General features: G+C 39.8%; 1 protein-coding gene and 1 pseudogene across 5 annotated transcripts in view, besides 8 other annotated features; one reads left to right on the top strand and one right to left on the bottom strand.

Moving 5' to 3' along the window:
• Positions 1 to 16093, bottom strand: part of PALS2 (protein associated with LIN7 2, MAGUK p55 family member) — a 120742-nt gene extending 104649 nt beyond the window's left edge. For 3 of the 5 annotated variants that reach the window (NM_016447.4, XM_011515425.3, NM_001303037.2), the window contains exon 1: positions 15952 to 16093. The gene's annotated coding sequence lies outside the window, so the exon portion shown is untranslated. Of the gene's footprint in view, positions 1 to 15266; positions 15580 to 15951 lie in introns of those variants that run through there. The other 2 variants (XM_017012316.3, XM_006715738.4) reach the window with 2 other exon arrangements.
• Positions 138 to 430, top strand: SUMO2P14 (SUMO2 pseudogene 14; annotated as a pseudogene).
• Positions 12892 to 13393: an enhancer, noted in NCBI's record as "NANOG hESC enhancer chr7:24615771-24616272 (GRCh37/hg19 assembly coordinates)". NCBI's record gives its function as "activates a minimal SCP1, AML or CMV promoter by ChIP-STARR-seq in naive H9 embryonic stem cells {active_cell/tissue: H9 hESC(naive)}" and the evidence as "EXISTENCE:reporter gene assay evidence [ECO:0000049][PMID:30033119]".
• Positions 15225 to 15344: an enhancer, noted in NCBI's record as "active region_25746". NCBI's record gives its function as "activates an Ori minimal core promoter by ATAC-STARR-seq in GM12878 lymphoblastoid cells {active_cell/tissue: GM12878}" and the evidence as "EXISTENCE:reporter gene assay evidence [ECO:0000049][PMID:35858748]".
• Positions 15390 to 15889: an enhancer, noted in NCBI's record as "H3K27ac hESC enhancer chr7:24613275-24613774 (GRCh37/hg19 assembly coordinates)". NCBI's record gives its function as "activates a minimal SCP1, AML or CMV promoter by ChIP-STARR-seq in primed H9 embryonic stem cells {active_cell/tissue: H9 hESC(primed)}" and the evidence as "EXISTENCE:reporter gene assay evidence [ECO:0000049][PMID:30033119]".
• Positions 15390 to 16614: a biological region, named in NCBI's record as "H3K27ac hESC enhancer GRCh37_chr7:24613275-24613774".
• Positions 15395 to 15444: an enhancer, noted in NCBI's record as "active region_25745". NCBI's record gives its function as "activates an Ori minimal core promoter by ATAC-STARR-seq in GM12878 lymphoblastoid cells {active_cell/tissue: GM12878}" and the evidence as "EXISTENCE:reporter gene assay evidence [ECO:0000049][PMID:35858748]".
• Positions 15545 to 16614: a silencer, noted in NCBI's record as "silent region_18017". NCBI's record gives its function as "represses an Ori minimal core promoter by ATAC-STARR-seq in GM12878 lymphoblastoid cells {active_cell/tissue: GM12878}" and the evidence as "EXISTENCE:reporter gene assay evidence [ECO:0000049][PMID:35858748]".
• Positions 16755 to 16854: an enhancer, noted in NCBI's record as "active region_25744". NCBI's record gives its function as "activates an Ori minimal core promoter by ATAC-STARR-seq in GM12878 lymphoblastoid cells {active_cell/tissue: GM12878}" and the evidence as "EXISTENCE:reporter gene assay evidence [ECO:0000049][PMID:35858748]".
• Positions 16875 to 16944: an enhancer, noted in NCBI's record as "active region_25743". NCBI's record gives its function as "activates an Ori minimal core promoter by ATAC-STARR-seq in GM12878 lymphoblastoid cells {active_cell/tissue: GM12878}" and the evidence as "EXISTENCE:reporter gene assay evidence [ECO:0000049][PMID:35858748]".

Here is a 22947-nt window from a genome sequence, read left to right as displayed (position 1 = left end):
TCACACACTTAAATATTTCTTAGGTAAAATATCTCCAGAATTAAAACAGGCTTACTTACTAATGCTGGTTGTGTGCACATACATGAGGTACCTGAAACTTCTTTCGAGAAGCAGCAGCTGCAACAGTAATGCTTTCCATGGCTGACAAAAAGCCCAAGAAAGGAGTCAAGACCCAAAAAAATAACCATATAGAGTTGCAGTGGTGGGGTGGAATGGTTCAGTGGTACAGCTCCAGAGTATATCACTTAGCAAACTAATGAGAGCCTATTGTTAACAACTGATCTATCAATGAGGCAACTTGGTTTTGGATGTGATGGGAGGCCAATTAATGAAACACCTGTACAGGTGAAAATGGAAGATGAAGATATAATTGATGTGTATACAAAGCAGACAGGAAGTATCTACTAAAAGAAGATCTGCACTTACTTGAGAACTTTGCCTCCCAAATTTTCCAAACACACACACACACACAAAATTTGGATCTACAAATCATATCCTGACCACTACAGTAAAGAAATACTTTTGCTTTCCATCTCTTTTTATTGTACAGTGTAGTTGTTATACATAGGCAGACTGGAATTATATTTTATATTAAATGGCCAATATGTTTACATCAACATCAAATGGAGGTGGGATAAGGACAAAATAAACTGTTTTTCTAAAAACACACCCCTTTCTCAATTATGATACATTCATTCAACTTTTATCTTCATATTATGATGAATTATTTTGCTCTGCTTAACCAAAACAATAAAGCCAAATAGAAGTTCTTGCAAACCTTGTTTCATTCTAGAATTTCAGTGTTTTCCATTTAGTGCTATAAACCATTATAAAGTCTTTTTGTATGTAGCTGTTATACGTATGGCAATCTTTATCTGTAAGCAAGAATAAAATCATTCTAAAAGAACTCCAAGATAGTTTTTCCCTTAAGGGTCTTGTTGTTCAAACTTTTTATATACTAAAAAATCAGAAGAGGTTCAAACAGTATATGAAAAAAATCTGGACTCAAGAACTAGCTCAACCCAGACCTGGGACTTGAAGCACATGAAAATGCTGTAAAAGAGAATACCTAAATACATCATCAGAGGCCCTCAATTATTTAAAAATAGAGTGATGCCTCAAGAGATAAACTGGTAAAACAGAAAAATAAACTTAGCAGAAAAAAGCAACCCTAAATGAAGATGGGTAGAAATATTTAGAAATATTTGTCTAATTGAAATGTCTAAGATATACCCTTAAGATAAGAACACAATGAAACAAAGAGTAAGAATCTATATGGTATTGTAAGCTGTTGGTAGGATGATATCTGGTCAAGCCTAGAAGAAAAGGAAGTAAAAAAAATTGACCTATGTCTCCAAACATGTCCAGGGAAGAACCTGCCTACTCTACATTCCAGGGTTTTTCAATCTTCGCACTGCTGTCAGTTGGCGCCAGATAATTCTTTGTTGTGGGGTCTGTCCCAATGAATTGCTTAGTAACAACCCTGGCCTCTACCCACTAGATGTCAGTAGCACCCCACCCCAGGTGTGACAACCAAAGATGGCTTCAAATATTACCAAATGTCCCTTAGGGGGCAAAACTGCACCCTTAGAGAATCACTGGTGTATTCTAAATAACAAATAGATCAAACTGTATTAGCTCGGTGCTATTTCTGGCATCAGAATCACTCCACTTTTCTTGCTCACCTACTAAATGTTTCATAATATTCTGGCTTTCTAGAGACAGTATGGTCATGGTTGTAAGATGTATTTGCTATAGTGTTCTTTTATGAAATTGAAAAGAAGATGTCAGAGAGGAAGACTCAGACAAAAGTAAAGTGAAACTTTCTGATAAGAATCAAGCCACGTACTTTCCACACTTCCCCACAAAACTTAGCATGGTGGCTCATGCCTGTAATCCCAGCACTATGGGAGGCCAAGAAGGGAGGATGGCTTGAGACCAGGAGTTCTGAGACCAGGCTGGGCAACACAGTGAGACCTGGACTCTAAAAACATTAAAAAAAAAAAAAAAAAATTAGCTGGGCATAGTGGTGTGGACCTGTAGTCTCACCTACTTGGGAGGATCACTAGAGCCCAGAAATTTAAGGTTGCAGTGAGCTACAATCAGGCCACTGTACTCGACTGGGTGACAGAGGGATATGCTGTCTAAAAAAATTTTTTAAATTAAAAATAACATATTCCTTACTATTAGTATCTTTATTTTCTCAGTTCCTCTAATTTAATAATAATAATTTAATAATTTAAAAGTTCCTCTGCTCTTTCCCCTCCCCTATATGACAGTACCCACACTCATCCATCGTCATTCCAGTTAACGTCCTTCGTCCTTCCAATGTTTTTAACAGTATATAATGCAGGGATAAATGACAAATTAATAGCGAAGTAGGTAGTCTCTAAAGAACTTTTCCATCCTTTAGTATTAACTTAGTCAAATATGAGAACAACTTGCTCAAATCTAGGGGCCATAACAACTTATTTAAAAATAAAAATAACCAAAAAACAAAAAACAAAAAAAAAATCCTTTAAACAAGACCAGGGTTTATTTTGGGGAAAATACTAGAATTTGGGGGGCAGGGCGGGCGGGGAATTTCCAAACTCTGAAAATCCAGAGACTGCCTTTGCCTCGGAATTCCTTGAAAACCTCAAGACGCCCTATGTCATTTGGTTTGTCATGGTGAATTTGCAATGTCCTTATATTTATCTTTTACTCTCCCTTCCCTCTGCCACCACTGTCTTTCAGGCTCTCCTTAATTCACTTTTAAATTATTACCACAAGCCTCTTCTACCATTCTCTTCTTCACTGTAATCTACTAGGCGTAAGACTATCACACCAATCATGTTAAAAAATCATTTTAATGACCAGATTGCATTAGAAAAACATGATTTTCTATCATCTGGGTATGTTTAAATTTCTCTTCTTAATATCTAGCTTTCCATCTATTCAACCTAATGCACTCTTATTCCTTAATATAAACTCTCTGTTCTAACCACATTGATCATTTTACTTCCTATATGCACAACCACATATCTAATTCTCACCTAAATGCCTTCACTCTTGTTACTCATCCCATCTAAGGACTACTTTTTTTCCTTGGTTATTCCATACTTACCCAGCTTATGACCTATTTCTTGCTTACGCAGAATCAAAATTTTAGAGCTAAAATGAGTCCCTGAACTCATCTCAAAATTAACTCAATCAAGTAGCAAATAAGTAGCAAGTCTCTCCCCACAGGTGAACATTTCTTCTTCTGAATTCTCTCAGAACTTACAGTCTGCCACACATGATAAAATAAAGCAGTATTTTATTTTATGGCTAAATAAAATATATGGCTAAATAAAATTAAATATGGCTAAACTTTGTTTTCCCCTAACATCTTCAATTAAAAAAAAAAATAGCAAAGCCTATGTTCATGGATGATGCCTGACTGGGGGAATACAAAGAAACTGCTTCTTCCCTCAAATAAACTATATAATCTTTTTATTTGTGTAATACCAGTATATACATATATAAACAGACTTGCTTTCAGTGAAAATTTCCCTGGAGAGTAACAAATTCTAAGTTGCTCTTTTTGGAGATAATTTGCAAAAGAGGGAACTCCAAGTTTGGATGATAAAAGAGAAGGGAACTAGATAGATGGCAGAGTAGGAGTAGAAGATATTAGTGGTGCACACTCTTAGAAGAGATAACAGAGGCAGGTGGCGGGCGCCTGGAGTCCCAGCTACTTGGGAGGCTGAGGCAGGAGAATGGCATGAACCCAGGAGGCGGAGCTTGTAGTGAGCCGAGATCTCGGCACTGCAGTCCAGCCTGGGAAACAGTGTGAGACTCCGTCTCAAAAAAATAAATAAATAAATAAATGTGCAGTCTTCAATCTAGAATTGCAGTGTGTTGGAAAGGAGGGGATGGAGATGAGAATAAGGACAGACAGAGCCAAGTCAGTGTTCCATTCTGATGAGTACTGGCATGAAATTATCAAGGGTGGAAACAAACTATAAATACCGACTTGGCTATATAGCAAGCTGAGCGAGTTAAATAAAGGTTACTAAAAGCATTTTTTTTTAATCTCAAACATCCAAGTTATGCTATCTCTAGGACAGAAGTTGGAATCAATAACTTTTAAGTGAACATAAGAAAGGATCTGAATATACCTAGGAATCCAACTTACAAGGGATGTGAAGGACCTCTTCAAGGAGAACTACAAACCACTGCTCAACGAAATAAAAGAGGATACAAACAAATGCAAGAACATTCCACGCTCATAGGTAGGAAGAATCAATATCGTCAAAATGGCCATACTGCCCAAGGTAATTTACAGATTCAATGCCATCCCCATCAAGCTACCAATGACTTTCTTCACAGAATTGGAAAAAACTACTTTAAAGTTCATATGGAACCAAAAAAGAGCCCACATTGCCAAGGTAATCCTAAGCCAAAAGAACAAAGCTGGAGGCATCACACTACCTGACTTCAAACTATACTACAAGGCTACAGTAACCAAAACAGCATGGGACTGGTACCAAAACAGAGATATAGATCAATGGAACAGAACAGAGCCCTCAGAAATAATGCCACATATCTACAACTATCTGATCTTTGACAAACCTGAGAAAAACAAGCAATGGGGAAAGGATTCCCTATTTAATAAATGGTGCTGGGACCACTGGCTAGCCATACGTAGAAAGCTGAAACTGGATCCCTTCCTTACACCTTATACAAAAATTAATTCAAGATGGATTAAAGACTTAAACGTTAGACCTAAAACTATAAAAACCCCAGAAGAAAACCTAGGCATTACCATTCAGGACATAGGCATGGGCAAGCACTTCATGTCTAAAACACCAAAAGCAATGGCAACAAAAGACAAAATTGACAAATGGGATCTAATTAAACTAAAGAGCTTCTGCACAGCAAAATAAACTACCATCAGAGTGAACAGGCAACCTACAAAATGGGAGAAAATTTTCCCAACCTACTCATCTGACAAAGGGCTAATATCCAGAATCTACAATGAACTCAAACAAATTTACAAGAAAAAAACAAACAACCCCATCAAAAAGTGGGCGAAGGACATGAACAGACACTTCTCAAAAGAAGACATTTATGCAGCCAAAAAACACATGAAAAAATGCTCATCATCACTGGCCATCAGAGAAAGGCAAATCAAAACCACAATGAGATACCATCTCACACCAGTTAGAATGGCAATCATTAAAAAGTCAGGAAACAACAGGTGCTGGAGAGGATGTGGAGAAATAGGAACACTTTTACACTGTTGGTGGGACTGTAAACTAGTTCAACCATTGTGGAAGTCAGTGTGGCGATTCCTCAGGGATCTAGAACTAGAAATACCATTTGACCCAGCCATCCCATTACTGGGTATATACCCAAAGGACTATAAATCATGCTGCTATAAAGACACATGCACACGTATGTTTATTGCGGCATTATTCATAATAGCAAAGACTTGGAACCAACCCAAATGTCCAACAATGATAGACTGGATTAAGAAAATGTGGCACATATACACCATGGAATACTATGCAGCCATAAAAAATGATGAGTTCATGTCCTTTGTAGGGACATGGATGAAATTGGAAATCATCATTCTCAGTAAACTATCGTGAGAACAAAAAACCAAACACCGCATATTCTCACTCATAGGTGGGAACTGAACAATGAGATCACATGGACACAGGAAGGGGAATATCACACTCTGGGGACTGTGGTGGGGTCGGGGGAGAGGGGAGGGATAGCATTGGGAGATATACCTAATGCTAGATGACAAGTTAGTGGGTGCAGCACACCAGCATGGCACATGTATACATATGTAACTAACCTGCACAATGTGCACATGTACCCTAAAACTTAAAGTATAATAAAAAAAAAAATTAAATAAATATTTAGCATGGGAAAAAAAAAAAAAGAAAGGATCTGAATAAGATATCCTCAAAAATGCCTCCTAGGATTTATAACCACTTTATTTGGGGGCAGGGGACCTTATTGAAAGTCGTGAAAAGTTTCTTTCAAGAAAGTAATGGTGAATGGAAACTAATTGTATAGTATCTGGTATTTCCAAATTGAATAGCATAAAATGATAATCTAACATTTTAATTGGGTGAATAGTAAAACTTTATAAAGATCATTAAATTCCTTCACGGAAAATTTCTCTACCTAGTTGTTTTCAAGAGCTTAATGCTAAGGATTGGTTGGTGATGGCAAACTGAGACTACTTTGTCTCACAAGATAGTCCAACCTTTTAAAAATAGGGCTTACATTTTTTTTTACTGACCTCCATTCCAAAAGATTACTAGCTAAAAAATAAAAAACATTTAAATTGATTTGTATAAAAATATGAATGATTTCCAGGCACGGTGGCTCACGCTTGTAATCCCAGCACTTTGGGAGGCCAAGGCAGGCAGATCACGAGGTCAGGAGTTCAGGACCATCCTGGCCAACATGGTGAAACCCTCTCTACTAAAAATACAAAAATTAGCTGGGCGTGGTGGCACACATCTGTAATCCCAGCCACTCAGGAAGCTGAGGCAGGAGAATCACTTGAATCCGGGAGGCAGAGGTTGCAGTGAGCCGAGATCACGCCACTGCACTCTAGCAGCCTGGGTGACAGAGCAAGACTCTGTCTCAAAAAAAAAAAAAAAAAAAAAAAAAAGCATGACTATCATTTCAAAAATAAGCAACTTTAATAAATTAAACTTCTTTACTCAATTATCTGAGTTTCTTATATCAAAGCTCTTTATAAGAAACCCAATTATTGGAGTTTCTTATACCTTCTAGCTCCTTATACAAGGATAGAAGATAGAAGGATATTAAAAGAGGAATAAAAAAAGCAAATAATTTTTTATTTATGTAACTAAAGTTAGGTTTTCCATATAACATTTTATTATGTGCATATAGACATACATATTCTAGTAAATAAAAAGAAGACAAATCCACTCAAAGATAGCCACATTCAAACTTCAAATAATATTTATTACAGTTAATGAAAAAAAAATCAATGTTTCTTTTAGAAAAGTAACGCAAGCACTAAGCTGGTAATACCAATAAAGTATTTATAGTAATATTCTATAGATTATTTATAAACTCTGCCATTACAGAACTAAAACAAAATGTTCTGAAACATTCAAGAATTTGTAAACAACTGACATTAGCCCTCACCATATCACCAGATTGGATGCTGTTCAAATGAGCTGCGACTAGAATTAGTATTCCCAATTCCTTAGCAAGCCATTATTACAAAATAGGATTTCATTTTCTTTATATGCATCATATGCTGTATTTGATACAAGATGATGGGAGTTATATTCTTTATATGAAAATCAGTTGATGCTTTGGGAAGACCCCAAAAAAGCAAGTGACAAAACAACAAAACAAAATGATAAACTGCTGTAAAATTAAGGGTAAAACAAGTATAAACAATTGAGGAGTCATAAAACATTAGAAATCTAGATCTTATATGCAGACTGCTTCACAAACTTTTAAGTTCTCACTCCAAAGCTGGTAATCAGTGATAATGCATTGGCTTATATAAGAATGATGACCCAGAGTTCCTGGCAAAAGACACATACTTAAAGAAAAGACTGACACATGAATGTAGATTTTTAAGTAATATATTATTTAAGATATGTGTCAATCGTTTATGACTCTTCACTTAAATCACTTTCAGTCAGCCAAAACTACCACCCGTTCTGATCAAATCAGATTAAAGGCTTTTACTCGTAATAGAGGCATCAAAATTTTTTCTGGATACCCCAAAAAAGCTATTGGCAATAGTTGCCTTTAGAATAACGTTTCTCGGCTTCATCACTACTGACATTTTGGGCTGGATGACTCCTTGTTGAGGGGGGCTGCCCTGTGCACTGTTTGCAGCATCCCTGACCTATACCTTATACATAGTAGTAGCAACACCTTCCCAGTTGTGACAGCCAAATATTCCTGGAGATTGTTCAGCAAAATCATCCCTGATTGAGAAATACTGACTTAGAAAGTGATGAAGATGGGACAAAAAGACTTATCAACTCCTCCTCCCTTTTCTGAACTATTTAAATTACCATTATGGTAGGCTGAATAATAGTCTCCCCCTCCACAAGATATCTATGTCTTAATTCCTGACACCTATGAATGTCACCGCATTTGGAAAGTTTCACAGGTGTGATTAAAGATCTTGTGATGGGGAGGTTATTCCAGAGAGCACTAAATGCCTTCACAAGTGTCCTTCACAGAGGGAGATTTCCCTTTCTCTCTGACACACACACACACACACACACACACACACACACACACACACACACGTGGGGAAATGAAAGACACAGAGCTGAAAGATTTCAAATGCCAGCCTTGAAGACTGCAGTGTGTAGCCGCAAGCCAAGGAATGCCAGAAGCCACCAGAAACTGGAAAAGGCAACAAGTAAGTTCTCCCTTAGATTCTTTGGAGGAAAAATGTCCCTGTTGACACCTTGATTTTGGCCCAATTATACTGATTTCAAATGTCTGGCCTTCAGAATCGTAAGAGAATACATTTATTTATAAGCCACTAAGTCTGTGGCAATTTGTCACAGCAGTCACAGAAAACTAATACAATCATAAAAAGATTTTAGTGACTTAAAAAACATAATTTTAAAATCTGCAACAAGCAGATGAGATAATGTGTGGAGAGCATTTAACATAGACCTTGAAACATGGTGGTATCTATAATATTATCAAATGTTTACATCAGCATTAACTATGACTAAACGCCAACCTCTTGATAGCAAGAAGAAAAAACAAGGAAGCTCAACTAGTAAAACTGGGTATATTTGTTCAAGGCTCATGTGAACGAAAACACATAAATCATCTACTCATGTGATGAGTGTACTTGCCAGTTGTATAAGCACTGTGTTATAATTTGTTCTGTACTGAAAAGATAAATTATGGATGAGGCCACCTAATGATGGCTTCCTTGGAGAACCATGCCTGAATATTCATTAGTAGAAAAGAAACAAGAAGGCAGAGGAGGGAAGAGTATGCAAGAGAGTAAAGCAATGGGGATCAATGAGGTATGTGCAGAAGTATTGACCTGGTGAGAGACCAAGTTCCAGCATTAGAGTTACCTAAATTATATACAACCTCAAAAGCTTTGTTGAATGATTTCATTATTAAAATGGAATATTCCACAGGATGTATTATTTTACACTCAAATGGTGGCTCCTGGGGATTTTAACAATATAAACATGCTCCTGCCCCATACCAGACCTACTAAATTAGAATCCTTTAGCGTAGGATAGCTCCAAAGGATTCTGATGCCCACTTAGGTAAAGAATCCCTGCCAGAGTCACTTCATGGTAAAAATGACCTACAGAACAAAATATAAAGTATTTATCCTTGAAATATGCATTTAAGTAAATCAGCTTAGTATTTTCCTAAGTTAAAACTTCTCCCAACATGTACCCCTCTGAGTTCCACCACAGAATTTCTCTAAACGAATCCCTCACCTTTCACTTTTCCTTTCCTAAGCATATGGCCCCCAGTCTGCTCAGAGAATCATTTTCCCCACACTTTCTCATACATTTTTCTTTAAAAGTCCCACATATCTCCAGCTGCCCTATTCTATCTTTTAAAAATATTAATCCTACCCAACTAATATCTAATAATATCCTACAGAACAAAGCAACTATGAAAAAGTTCCATTAATATGCTATACAATAAACCAAGATTTATAAAAAATTGCTCTATTGCCTATTCTAATAAATATTCTAAGTAGATTTATCAAATGAAATTGAAAATCACTTTTTATAAAAGATTTCTTCCAAAAACATAAGAATTATGAACTGGGTCTATAAAAAGGTGATAAGCTAAGCTCCTTCAATTAAATCTTTACTTAGTGCTACTAAGTAGGTAACAAAGTGCTGGGCTGTGTGAAGGATACAAAGTATCGGAAAATCTCGGTGATTTATAAACAACTTTACCAGTACTGGGGTAGAAGAAAGGGGAATGGAGAAGATGGAAAGGGGTAACTAAATACCACTCAAAAGGTATCTCTTTTTGGGGGAGGAAGCCTGCTGTTTCAGTTTGTTTATGACTTTAGCCAAAAACAAAGCAATGCAAGTTAGTGTTCAAATAAGTTGTGCATTAACTTTTTACCCTTTCACAAACATCTGTATCAATTAAGGCATATTTCCAGCCTTTTCTATTTACCTTAATGCTCTTCAGAAATTTCAACCACATCAGATTTTGATTTGTGTTTCCACCAACAATGTGAAAGCCCCTGTTAACTAATAGCCTCTTCAAAAGTATTATCAAACATTTTCCATCTGTCAGTAGGTGAAACAGTATCTCATAGTTTTTATTTATAATATTTGTATTATGTGTGAGGTTGAATACCTTTACAGATGCTTACAAAACACTTGCATTTCCTTTTCTGAGAATTACTCTGTTCATGATCTTTGCCCACTTGATGGTTGGTCTTTTCCTAATTGGTTAGTAGGTACTTTATATAAAGGAAGTTAGACTCTTATTTATCATACAAATTGCAAATATTTCTACCAGTTCCTCCATTATCATGCTATTTTTATTTTACTTCCTTTTTGTATATATTTTATCTTCCTCAATCAAACTGCAAATCATGCCCATGAAAGATATCACATTTCTTTTCTATATCTCCAGGAAGAGTGCTTTTCAGATACTTCAGATTTCAAGATCAAATTTAAAAAGAGGAGAGACGAGTGTTTTGCAGCAGATGAATAAGTATGAACATTAATTATCACAGGGGCACCTACTTGGATTGTCTGTTTAATCCCATTACATGTGGTTACAGCAAGTACAACCAAGTTCTAATAATGAGATATAGTTTATTGAACAGGGAAGAACTAGATGAACCTTTCTCCAGTTTCCCAGGCTGGTATCATGAAAACTCAGAAGCTACTGGTGGCCATATTTTCCACTAAGAGGACTAGAAGTGGTCCTCTGCAGCAAGAGAAGGAATGAAGCAAACGCACAGAGAAGAAGAGAGAAACGATATGATGTGCCCTGCAGGCACTGGAGTCCCAGTCCTTGCATTCCACTGGACATTGGCTGCATTTGAACGATAAATTCCCTTTATAACAACTAGAATGGATTTCTATTACTTATGGCCAAAAGAGGCCTGTTTACCATACTACTATCATTTTATAAAGGAGCATTTGAACACCGAAACCTCAGAAAGAACATGACCTCAGATTTTTTAAAAGGATGATTTATTTAATGACAGCTATGTGCCAGGAACAGGTCTAAGTCCTTGAAATATAGTGTTAATCAAAAGAGACAAGATCAGCAGGGTGTGGTGGTTCATGCTTATGATCCCAGTGCTTTGAGGCACTGAGGCGAGAGAATCCCTTGAGATCAGGAGTTTGAGAGCAGCCTGGGCAACACACACAGCAAGACTCCATTTCTACAGAATTTTTTTTTTTTAATTAGCTCGGCATGGTAGTTGTTGCCTATAGTCCTAGCTACCAGGAGGCTGAGGTGGGAGGATCACTTGAGCCTAGGAGTTCCAGGCTGCAGTGAGCCGTGATCACACACACCACTGCACTCCAGCCTGGGGTGACCGAGTGAGATTCTATCTCAAAAACAAAAACAAAAAGAGACAAGATCATTGATATCACGGGGCTTATATTCTAGTGAGTATGGAGATTATAAAATAATATAAAAACATAATTTCAGATACTGATAAATGGTTTGAAGAAATTTTTAAGTAAAAAAGGTAATGGGATTGAGGGGGATGAGGCTAGTGTCATTCTGGAAGGATGGTTAGGTAGCAATGCTTGTCTGAAAAGATGATATTTGAACTACAACATGAAATGATGAAAAGTAGTCACTCATGTAATGATTTAGGAAGAGTTCCCAACAGAGTGAACATAGTGCAAAAGCCCTAAGTTAGGAGCAAGCCATGGCATTGATGAGGAACAAAATGAAGGGCAATGTAGATGAAATATAGCAAAAAGTGGAGGAAGAGGGTAAAGAAATGATAGATTTAAGAGGAAAAGATGTAAATTGGTGAAGGAGGGATTAAATCATGTACAAAACTAGCAAGCAGTAGAAAGGATCTGAAAATAACTTGAGCTTTATGAAATATTCATTATATTGTCTTTAATTCTCATTTTGCCTTGTATCAGTGATAACTCTGACAGATAGGCTTTTAGAAACTTCCATTCCCAAGTACTTAACACAATCCTAAAGTTAGCCAGAGATGAATATATTCCTAAGCAGAAAGTATCTCTTCTAGTACACTATATTAAAAAAAAAAAAAAAGGAAAAAAGGAAAAAAGAATTTTCGGATGAAAGCAAAGTCATCTTAAAGGAAAGAAGGAAAATAACCTAGGATGAAGGAAAAATAGAAACTAATTTTGTTCTGTTCATTACTCTGTGAATATACTTACTATGATAAAGATTATAGAAAGGTCTTTGAATTAGTCTATCATAATTAAGGAAGGTCATAAAACTTAAGTTCTTTCTAAACTACTATAAACGTAGCAGCCTCTGTTTACTGAGTTCATTATTATTGAATTGGACATTAACAAGGTTAAATACTGTCAGAAAAGAAAAAGTAGAAACCAGGCTTTTGACTTTATTACACCTGGTAATAATGGTCACAGCTTAATGGTTAACAAAGTTGTGGGCTTTAATCTTATCTATATGACTATGATAAAGGAAGAACTTCCCCTCTGCGGTGAAATGAACACTAAAATTAGCTACATGGGATGCTTCAATATCTTCTCCTCCAAAAGCTTTTTATAAGAGGAGACCAATTTGTTTAAAGGGTTTGGATATAGATACACTTCACAGAAGAGTGATGATCTTTCCAGATCCTTCCAGACAACTAATATCTGTGTACTCTAAGCAAGCAATTAAACCTACACTGCTTCTAAGATTAATGCAAGTAAAGTCGGATCTTTGAAAGCTATAATGTATTCAGGAATCTTATCTTTCATTATGTTAGAGGCATACTTAGACCACTTAACAGTAGACTGTTAATAACACAGTCTATAAAGAATGATACTTTGTAAGCATGCTGTGAGTTAAAGAAAGAAAAGTCATTAAACACCTTGATTGAGACTTGCTTCAGAGTGCATCCTCCTCAGCACACTACCCAGCAGTTTGACAAAGTGCCCAGGATTAGCAGCCAATGTATGTAAAGAAGGAATATGGTCAAGCCCAATTGTAAAGTCTCCCCCCAGTGGTCAGATACAAGTAACAGAAAAGGAGGAAAATCATTGCAGCTTCTGTGAGACTGAACAGGAAGACTAAACAAAACTGGTCCCTACAACAAAAAAATAAAATCTTTAATTCAATACTAGCACCATATCAGGAAAGAGATCTCTTGTGCTTATCTGCTCTTATATTTATAAATGTGAAGACTACTTTTCTAAAGAACCTACAGTTAAAACAAAACTAGCATAATTTTTCTCCGCCTAAGTTTTAAGGAATAACTGACATATTCCCAAACAGTTCAGTATTTATCAAATGGGTAAGTGTTCATTCTTCCTGAAATAAACATCAGCACATCACTTACATGGTTAACTATACTTACCTGAAGTAGAGTTCTGATTTAAAAAAAAAAAATCTAGTCACTCATCAAGTGAATCACTCTGGAAGGAAAAATTATTAACTATTATATACCTAATGTGAATTTTACAAGATACTCTTTTTCAAAAGTCACCTAGCAATAGGTAATTTATATTAGAGTGATGTCAAAAGTATAAATGCGTCCTCTTACCTCTTTTAATTTTATTTTCTGGCTGTTTTTTTACAATTAGCCTTTGACTAGCACTAATCCTGTATTATTTGTAACTCTCTCAGCAATAATATGATGCTACTCCATTTTTACAAAGCTCAGATGTCAAAAATATGAAAGACATTTAATTAAAATATCTGTTTTATTCTGCTAATCCATTATTAAGTAGTAAAGCATGTAAAGGGATAGTAAATATTCAAACAAGCAACTTCAATTTTAAAACAACTTTTTAAAAAGATAACACATAGAGTCACAGTTATGTCTTCTTGGTTATCTCAAGCTAAAAAGAGGGGGAGTGGGGAGAGAAAGAGAGAAGCAGGCTATGTAGTGCTCTGGAACAATTTCAGCCTAAAATGAGACTCAGAAGCAAACTGCTCCCTCAAATGTTTAAAAATATGATTCATTTTTAAAAATCCAACAGTTGGCCTAAAGAAAAAAAAAGATTCTGTCTTATATAGAGCTACTAGACTTGCTTAAACACCTTAATTTTTCCAGTGTTGATTTAACCTAGAATGCAAAATAATTCATTTTGACATTCCAGATGTCAAGAATTCGGTGGCATCAGTAAGGACACATACACACCTCTTTCATAAAGATGGTGTGCAGTCTCCATAGGACAAAATTGAGCAATTAAAAGTGTTACCATTTGTGTATTATGTAACCGTAGTCCAGAATGAAGGAAACATGGACCTTAAAGAGTAACACATCGTGCAAACACGCATTTAAACACCTATTTAAATATATGATAGATTTAAGGTACAAATGACCTCAAAATGACACAACCCACAAAAGTTCTTTGTTTACTGTTAACAAGGCCTCAGAAGACATAACTATAATCAGGCCTACTACCCACTACCCTATCATTGCACAGTAGATGCCTACAATAAGCAATATTACTTGAGGTCCGTTGCTATACCTATATACGGAAACTATATACCGCATTACTAAAAATGTTACTTCGCCTGGTATATTCGACCAACATAAGTTTACAAATGATTTGCAAAATTTCACGGGAAGAAATGGCTGCTAAATCATACTCCAATTGAAACGCATTTTAACGCACCCCAAACGTTCTCAGCTACACTACAAGACCACTTGTAATATACTTGAAGCACAAAGTAAAATTCCAACACTCTCCAAAGGCGTAGGAAAGAATAAAACGTGGCTAGCCTGACCTTACCCGGCTGTTTATAAGTAATGCGGAGAATTTTCTGAGCTTCCCCGGCAGTCTTCAATTCTCTCCCTCGCTTCACCCCCACCCCCTACACAGATGCACACCCAACTGATGGAAGTTTAACAAATGTAATCTCGAGCTGCAATCCCAGAAACTGGTAGGATTGAGAATAAACTCCCAGTAAAGTGTTAAAAAGTCCTTCTGCAAAAAAACATCTACCAACCAATCCACATCCTGTCACCACACGGTCGGATACCTCAATCGACTCCCCTGCTGACCCTCCACCCAGCCAAAATAAAAAAGCCCCAGCACCTATTTGGTTTCAGACAAACGTACCGAGAATCCGCGAGCACGATCTCAGCAGCGAACGCCCCCGCGGCAGCCTGTGCTCGGCCCACAGCCACTTTGGCCAAACAACTGGAGTCTCGTACCTCGGAAGTAGCGGCGGTAGTTGGAGAAAGCCTCCTCCCCTACCAACTCCGAGCTCGGGAGAGAACCGGGAGCCGGCGGAATCACCCCCTCTCGGGACAGACCCCGGAGGTGTCAGTCACAGCAACGCCGCCCCCAGGCCGGCTCTCCATTCAGGCTCCACCGCGACTCCCGCCGCAGAGGTGTAGGCACCCAAGCCCCGCGCCCGAAGGGGCCCCGCGCGTCTGCGGCCCTAGCCCCAGTCGGGGCCGCGCCGGGGAGCGCGTGGGGAGCGGCGGCAAGCAGCATGGGCCAGACACGTTGCCGAGCTCCGGCCCGCCCAGCCGCCCGCAGCCAGAGAGGCAGGAGCCCGGCCGAGCGCCCCTTCCGCGCGGGCCGGGCTGGGGGCGGCCAGCAGCCTCCCCGACCGCGGCGCCGCCGCCGCCGCCTGCCGGTCCCTCTTCCCCGCGCCCGCCGAAGCCCAGGTGCCGAGGGGGGCGGGGCGGGCCAGGGTCCCCGCGTGGCGCGCCGCGCCGAGCAACAGGGCGCCCCCGGCCGGCCCGGCGCGCGGCGCGACCGTTACCCGAGCGGCGTGGGGGTCCAGTTAACTCACCGGCTCGCACCTCAGCCGCCTCCGCGCCGCCGCTGCCGCCGCTCCCGGTCGCTCCCCGCCGCCGCTGCTCTCCCTCAGCCACAGGCGCCGCCGAGCAGCCCCATCTGCAAACTCGTGGCTCGTAGTTGAGAACTGGAAATGCGTCTCTCACTGCCCTCCGCCTCCCTCTCTCTCCTCCCCCTCCCTCGCTCCCCACTCTGCCCCAGCTCCGGTCGCCCCCGCCGCTGCCTCCGCGCGCGCAGCCAGCCGCGCCTCAGCCGCCCTCCTCCTCCTCCTCCTCCTCCTCCTCCTCCTCCAGCCGCCGCCGCCGCCGCCGCTTGGGCGCGCTCCCAGCCGGCCTCGCGCGTGCGCCGGACGTCGGGGAGCGCGCGCTCGGGCGCGAGGAGGTGCCACCGCCTCCGGAAAGCCGGGCCCCGCCCCTCCCGCCGCGGCTGGGCGCCCAGGTGGAGCCCCCTCCCAGCTTCTGAGCGCCCAGACTGACTGCGCTCTGCGCCCGGCCGGCTCGCTTCAGGGGTCCCGGACCTGCGCCCGCGAGAGAGGGCTGGTCGGACCCAGTCCCCGCCGGGTCTCCTGGGCCGAAGTCGCAGCTGTCTGTCAGCATTTACGGGTGGGCAAGATACTCCTCGGGGCATAAAACAGGCTCCGCCCTGACCTTTCTGAGAGTTTTACATTCAAGAACCCAGTCGTGGGGCACAAAAGAGAAATGGAACGAGAAGAAAAGCCTCTGGAAAAATCTCCCCCTCCCCCTTCACAGACTCCACTGGATCTGATGTGTATTTGGCAGGTTCTACGGCGCTGACTGTGTCCTTCATTAATTTTTTCCCAAAGGCCCGACCGGGCAGTGTGATTCACACCCGAGGAAATGCATGGACACTGGCTCTTTTCATAGCACCGAGGCTCCCGTGGAACTCCCTGGGTCGGCTTTGCCAGACACTCCCTGGACACAGTTGTTCAGCTCCTCCCCAGCACCTGGGCTTCCCAGACCTCAAAAGGGTGGGGTTGGGGAGGGCATGCCATCCTTTCAGCCTGGACTCTGCGTAGAGCTTGGTGAACTGTGATGAGTGTCCGGATGTGTAGATGACACATTTTGACAGAAGTGCAGATTTAATTTTTCAGTTGAAAGGAACTGAGCAATGCACTGCAGCAGAGACTTCTGGCTAGAAAAACATAGCAAGGCAGCCAGAGAACTTCCGATCCCCTTAAAAGAGCTCTGTGAACCCTCAGACCTGTGACAGGCGGCTTTTGGAAAAACTATTGTGTTCTTCCTAAAATTGAAGAATGTAATTTACATTTTACAAAATGCTTACTGCAATCTTTTCAAACCATGAACGTAGAAAGTGCAAGTCAAACTTTACGTGTGAGGAGTGTTATGAGGTGGCCTCCTCTGTGCAGCCTTTCCTGGCTTCTCTTGGGCACCTTGCACAAACCAGACCATTAATAAGTGTTTGCAGAATAAATGCGTGCATCATGGCCCTTTGGATTCAGAGATGAAGTTATAAGTTGTATTGTCTCCTCTCTTTGTGAATGTGGCAGGCATGGAAGGGAGAGAGAAAATACTATTGATGAGATGTATTAAGAAGGTCCAGTGTCCAAAACAGTGATTTTTGTGTTTATCCTCAACCAAGCATCAAAGATTAATTTACTTTTCCATTAGGATCATTAATTTTGCAAACCAACATGCAGGGGGGCCTTGTACAGTGTTAATTTAGAACCTTCTTTCCTGGAACCACAAACCCAGGCAAAGGTAATTGGAAGCATTTAAGGAGACTCAAACGTGCCCAGGGCACAGAGTAGCTTTGGGCCCCCTGTAGTCAGGATGGCTGGATGAAATGAAGTGGAGTGGGCTCGGAGCCCAAGGCAGAGACAAAGCGGAAGGATGGGGTTTGTCTTCTCGGGGTGTCAGCAAGACCTTTCAGGTCCTTCTTGCTGCCCCAGGCCCACTTGCTTCTCACAGGACACCCATGGGTCCTCCCTGCTGTACCCTACCCAGGCTTGTGAACTCTTTTCCCTTCTGACTCTTAACCTTAACACATCCCCTTGGACCCAGCCACTTAGTTACTTGCCCTGAGCTTCTCTGGGGTTGGGGTGGGAGGTAGGGTATGAATGTCATTTCCAGATATGTTAGTGATCCTTAATAGTGCACTTTTATTTCCTCAAGGGTCTTCTGGAAACAATGTCCTAACCTACTCTACCCCTGCTCCCTGCAAGTAGAATGATGTTAACTGAGGAAGTTTTAGGGAGGGAGGGTTTGGGGTAGGCTCTGCCCCTCAAATTACATGCAGACCTACCTGACTTAAAGCTGGCACCACTCCTGGCCAACTGCTTTATCTCTGCATCTACCAGAGACCCAGCATTTGGGAGCAGGAATACAGGAACAATTATCTTTCATTTGCAGTTCCAAGTCTGTGCTCTAAGTAATGACAGCAGCTATCAGATGGAGGCTTATCACTGCCGTAAGACTCAGCTTCATTCTTAGAGTCAGAAAAATGATTTTGCTCCAATAACTGTCTTTGATTGCTCCCCTTCAGAAAGCTCTTGCCGGTGAAGTTCCTCTCTCAGTGTCAGATGAGTATTGTATCAAATACTCATATACAGTTATAAAAGGAAACACTATTTCCTTTTATAAATGATATTCCCATTTTATAACATTCTGCCCTTCCTCTAAACTTTAAAGGTGGGACATGCCAGGATAAATTTAAAGTGTTCTCAGTTAAACATTGGAACTCCCATCATTGGTTCCCAACTCAGCTTTCTGAGAGGTCATCATACTGAGACACCACCATCCATTTCCCATACCGGTTACAAATTCTTCATTCCAAGAAAGGGGAATGATATGATTGAGAATGATGGTGGATCTTTCTCTTCAGTGTCCTTAATAGTCTGACTTTTCATTTCCTTCAAGGTTACTCTAAAGGGATCATAATTTTACCACAGCCCAGTATCTCCCAACGGTAATTCAATTTAAAATTTGAATTTTGATTCTTAATTCAGGAGCATCCATCACTCAATTTTGTTTCCTCCTTCAAATGTAAACAACATACACTTTTAATGTGATTACATTTTCTTTTCTCTTCTGACCTGCTTTGCTCCTACAGAAATTGAGAATTTTGCTAATAGCCCCGAATTTTAGCAAAAGCAAATCCTGTGTACTTGTTTTTCAACTAATCCATCATAGTAAAAGCAGTGACACTCCTGGAGGATAGCTTTATTTAAAAATGCAACTGGCATGCATCACAAAGTCCAACCAAGTTTTCCTTCAGAATACTTTATTTAGCTTCACTCCTTTTATCTCTGCTCACAAAGCTAGGTCAGATTCCAATTTCCAGCCTCCTTGCTAACCTTTCTAATTCTAGCCTCTCTCTTGCTTCCTTGCAATTTATCCTATACTCAGAGCAGTGCTTCTTAATTTTTGGCTCTTTATTGAAATCACCCAGAGAACTTTAAGAAACAAAACAAAGCACTGATGCTTTGATGCCATCCCAGACTTAATTGCTCTGGAGCACAGCCTGGGTGCCAGGATTTTTTCAGAGCTCTCCAGATAACTCTAATACGCAGCCAGAGTTAAGAACTATGGAAATGAATCATCTTCCAAACAACATTTATACCAAATCTTCACAACAGTGGGGTAGCTCCAAATTACCTCGAGTAATCAAATTAAAATTCCTAATCCTGTGCTTTAAGACTCTTTGCCAATTGACTAGAATAGTCCCCTTTCAAAACAGCTTAAATTTATCTCCTTCCTAAAGCTTCTCCAGATTAGTCTCACCTGGCTGCCTGAAGATCACCGTTCCCAGCTCTGAGCATCCCGACTGGCACTGGTTTACAAACCGCTGGACCTCAGTTGATTGTGTACATTATTGTTTTAATCTTGCTTTCATAGATATTTGTCAGAGGCTTTTCTTATAATCTAAATCTTTCCAAAAGTCCCACTGGGTCAACTGTCTCAAACAGAAATGTCTTAGCAGAACTTTCTCCTCTAAACTAGCTGTCTGAAAAAACATTTCCTGATACGATGGCAGTTCTTTTTTTTTTTTTAATCATCACAATTAAAGCCAAACATTATAAGAACTTGAGTTTTGGGGTTGTTTGGTTTTTCCTTAAAAAAGAAAACTATATATCTCAGCATATCTCCTTGACTTTTCTTACCATTATTTGTTTATTTTAGGCATTGGAATTGGGCTTCCACACCCACTTCTCTGCTGAAACTACTATTTCCATCACAATTAACATTTTCATTCATGTGTTCATCCATTCAGTCACTCATTTACTAGTGAAGCATAATGAAAATAAAAAAATTAACAATATCAAGTAGTCCCTACCTAATGGCGAAGAATAATAAGCAAAATATTACATAATAAGTGCTATGCCAGGTGTCTTAATAGTATATGACAGAATTAGTGGGGAAGGTCTTTGCTTAGTGTTCATGCCATTGAACTTCTCTGCAGTGTTTGAGGAGGTTAATCTCTCGTACTCTCACTCTCTAAACCTCTCTTTTCCTTTAACTTCTCTGATACCATACCACCTGGGAGCTCTTTCGACCTCTCTGACTGTTCCATCTCTGACCCTTACTTTGCTGTGTTATCTCCTCCTACTTCCTAAAGAAAAATGTTCCACTAAGAATGAAATAAATTTTTGAGGAGAAACTTAAAAAGAGCAGATAGTACTGTTTATCTTGAGAATCCCAGGGATCCTTAGGACTCTAGCACCAATGCTTCCACATCTGTATCTATTCTCCCTTGAGGCATATTTTCAACTCGCTGTTGAAAATTTCCATCTAGATAAGCTATTCACGGGGTTGCTCCTGCTGGTTTTTCTGGCACCTTCCTTTCCTTTACCTCCTTTTACCATCTCCTGAACAAACACATACTCAAATCCCTTGCAGCCCACTTTCTCAAAATTATAGGAATGGATTCTCTTGTTTATTTGCTTTAGTCCTACAGAGTCTCCTAACTCATCTCCCTGCCTCAGGGCCTCCTTGCCCTGACTGCCAGGTGCCAGTCATTTTATCCCTGTCTCCTTACTGCCTACGGGACCCCATTTACAAGGTCATTCACAATGACAGTCAAAGCTTCCCTGTTTGGATATTCTAGTTAGTCATATCTTGTATCTTTATGTTTCTACCCCTGTTTTTGCCTTCTGCCATCTCTGCTGGCCAAAATCCAAGCATGTGTGCTCATCTCACACCCTCCTTTTCCATGAAACCCTTTCTGCCTCACCTCAAACAGAGGTACAGTAGTCCCCCAGTCCCCCCTTATTCATGGTTTCACTTTCCAAGGTTTCAGTTTTCCTCAGTACAGTATGATAAGATATTTTGAGAAAGAGAGACACTATGTTCACGTAACTTTTATGAAGGTATATTGTTATAATTGTTCTATTTTATTATTAGTTATTGTTAATCTCTTAACGTGCCTAATGTATAAATTAAAAACTTTATCATAGGTATGTATGTCTACAAACCATAGTACATATATATATATATATATATATATATATAAAATATGTACAGTGCAGTACTATCCATGGTTTCAGGTATTCACTGGGGGGCTTGGAATGGATGCCCTCTTGGATAAGAAGGGACTAGTGTAATTGCTCTCCTTTGAACTCCTGTAGCACTTTAATTGCATCTTATGGCTCCTTTCCTATTCTGCTTCATAAAAGCATCATTTATGTTTTCAAATATTTATCTTTGCATTCTTTTTACCGCCACTCAGCCCCATCCCCTTCTTTCTTGCAGGTAAAATCCAGGGTGATGTGTACAGGAATGCCTGTAGCACTTGGCATAGTACTGCACATAGTAGCTGCTCATTTATTGAAACAGATAAACCTGTTAGTTGGTAGACTTCTAAAATTAAATAAAATTAAGTGAAAAATGTTGCTAATTACAATTGAACACTTGTTCCAGAATATGCAAGTTACAGATGAAAAGCTCTTAGAAAGACAATCAGATTTCAAGCAGTGACCTTAATTGAGCTTGACTTTATCTCACCAGGAGCCAGCATCTATATGTAATTAACCCTTTTAGATACTCATTTAAAATCGGCCTCTAAATTCTACCTCTCCCATTATATATATGAACTGAAAAAAAAATCCTTCTACTCAAGTATCAAAAAGAAGATTAAAAAGACATAGGAAAACAGGAAAAACCTTTCTTAAAAATTTGTAAAAATATATAGTGTCAGTATAGTGTGTACCTTTCCCCATTGAAAACACAGACAGGCACGAAGTCCTGGAGGGCAGTGGAGGTCTTCTGGAAGAATCTTCTGGCATGACAGGCAAAAAGGGTGTCAATGGTGATTAAACATAAAAACAAAGGGTCAAACTGTGAGGCCGATGCTCCTCCAAAGGACTGAGGAGAAGTCGTGAGGGTAAGAGCAAGTCATTAAGATGCATAGTAGGCTCTTAAGACATTTTTGGTAAATAAATGAATGAAAGATGGATAGGATAAGGGACGTGGAAGCAATGATGGAAGTCGGGGTGTATGTGTATGAGTCGGGGCAGCCATGGCAAGCTGTTTTGGCTGTTAACAATCTGGGAAGTTAATGGCCCATTTTAAAGCAATGCCATCTTCATGCTAGGAAGTACAGGGCATTTAGTTTTTCCTTAAAATATCAGCTGTTTATAAATATGAAAGACCAAGTCTTTTTAAAAAATCCTGCTTTGGTAATAATAGCGAATGACAACTATCTATTGAGCTCATGCCTGTGTGGCAGACACTGGTGTATAACCTTCATATGGAGCATCCCATGGGGATCATTACTATTACTCCCATTTTTCAGATGAGAAAACAAGTGAAGAGGAGTTAATGGCTCAGGCTTCAGAACCAGGAAGTGTTTAAAGAAGCTCTGCTGCAAAACTCCTGCTCATTCCCACACTTCATACACAGAGTGCTTTGTAACTTTCAGGTCAATTCAACTGGAATGAATTATAGTACGAGTTACTACAATTAGAGGTTCTCTGTAGCATGTTATTTAACTCAGATTCACCACCACGATCTAC

The sequence above is a fragment of the Homo sapiens genome, chromosome 7 (genome assembly GCF_000001405.40).
Source record: "Homo sapiens chromosome 7, GRCh38.p14 Primary Assembly".
In the NCBI taxonomy this organism is placed as follows: Eukaryota; Metazoa; Chordata; class Mammalia; order Primates; family Hominidae; genus Homo; species Homo sapiens.
Note: the sequence above shows the minus strand (reverse complement) of the source record. Positions and strands in the feature narration are given on the sequence as shown.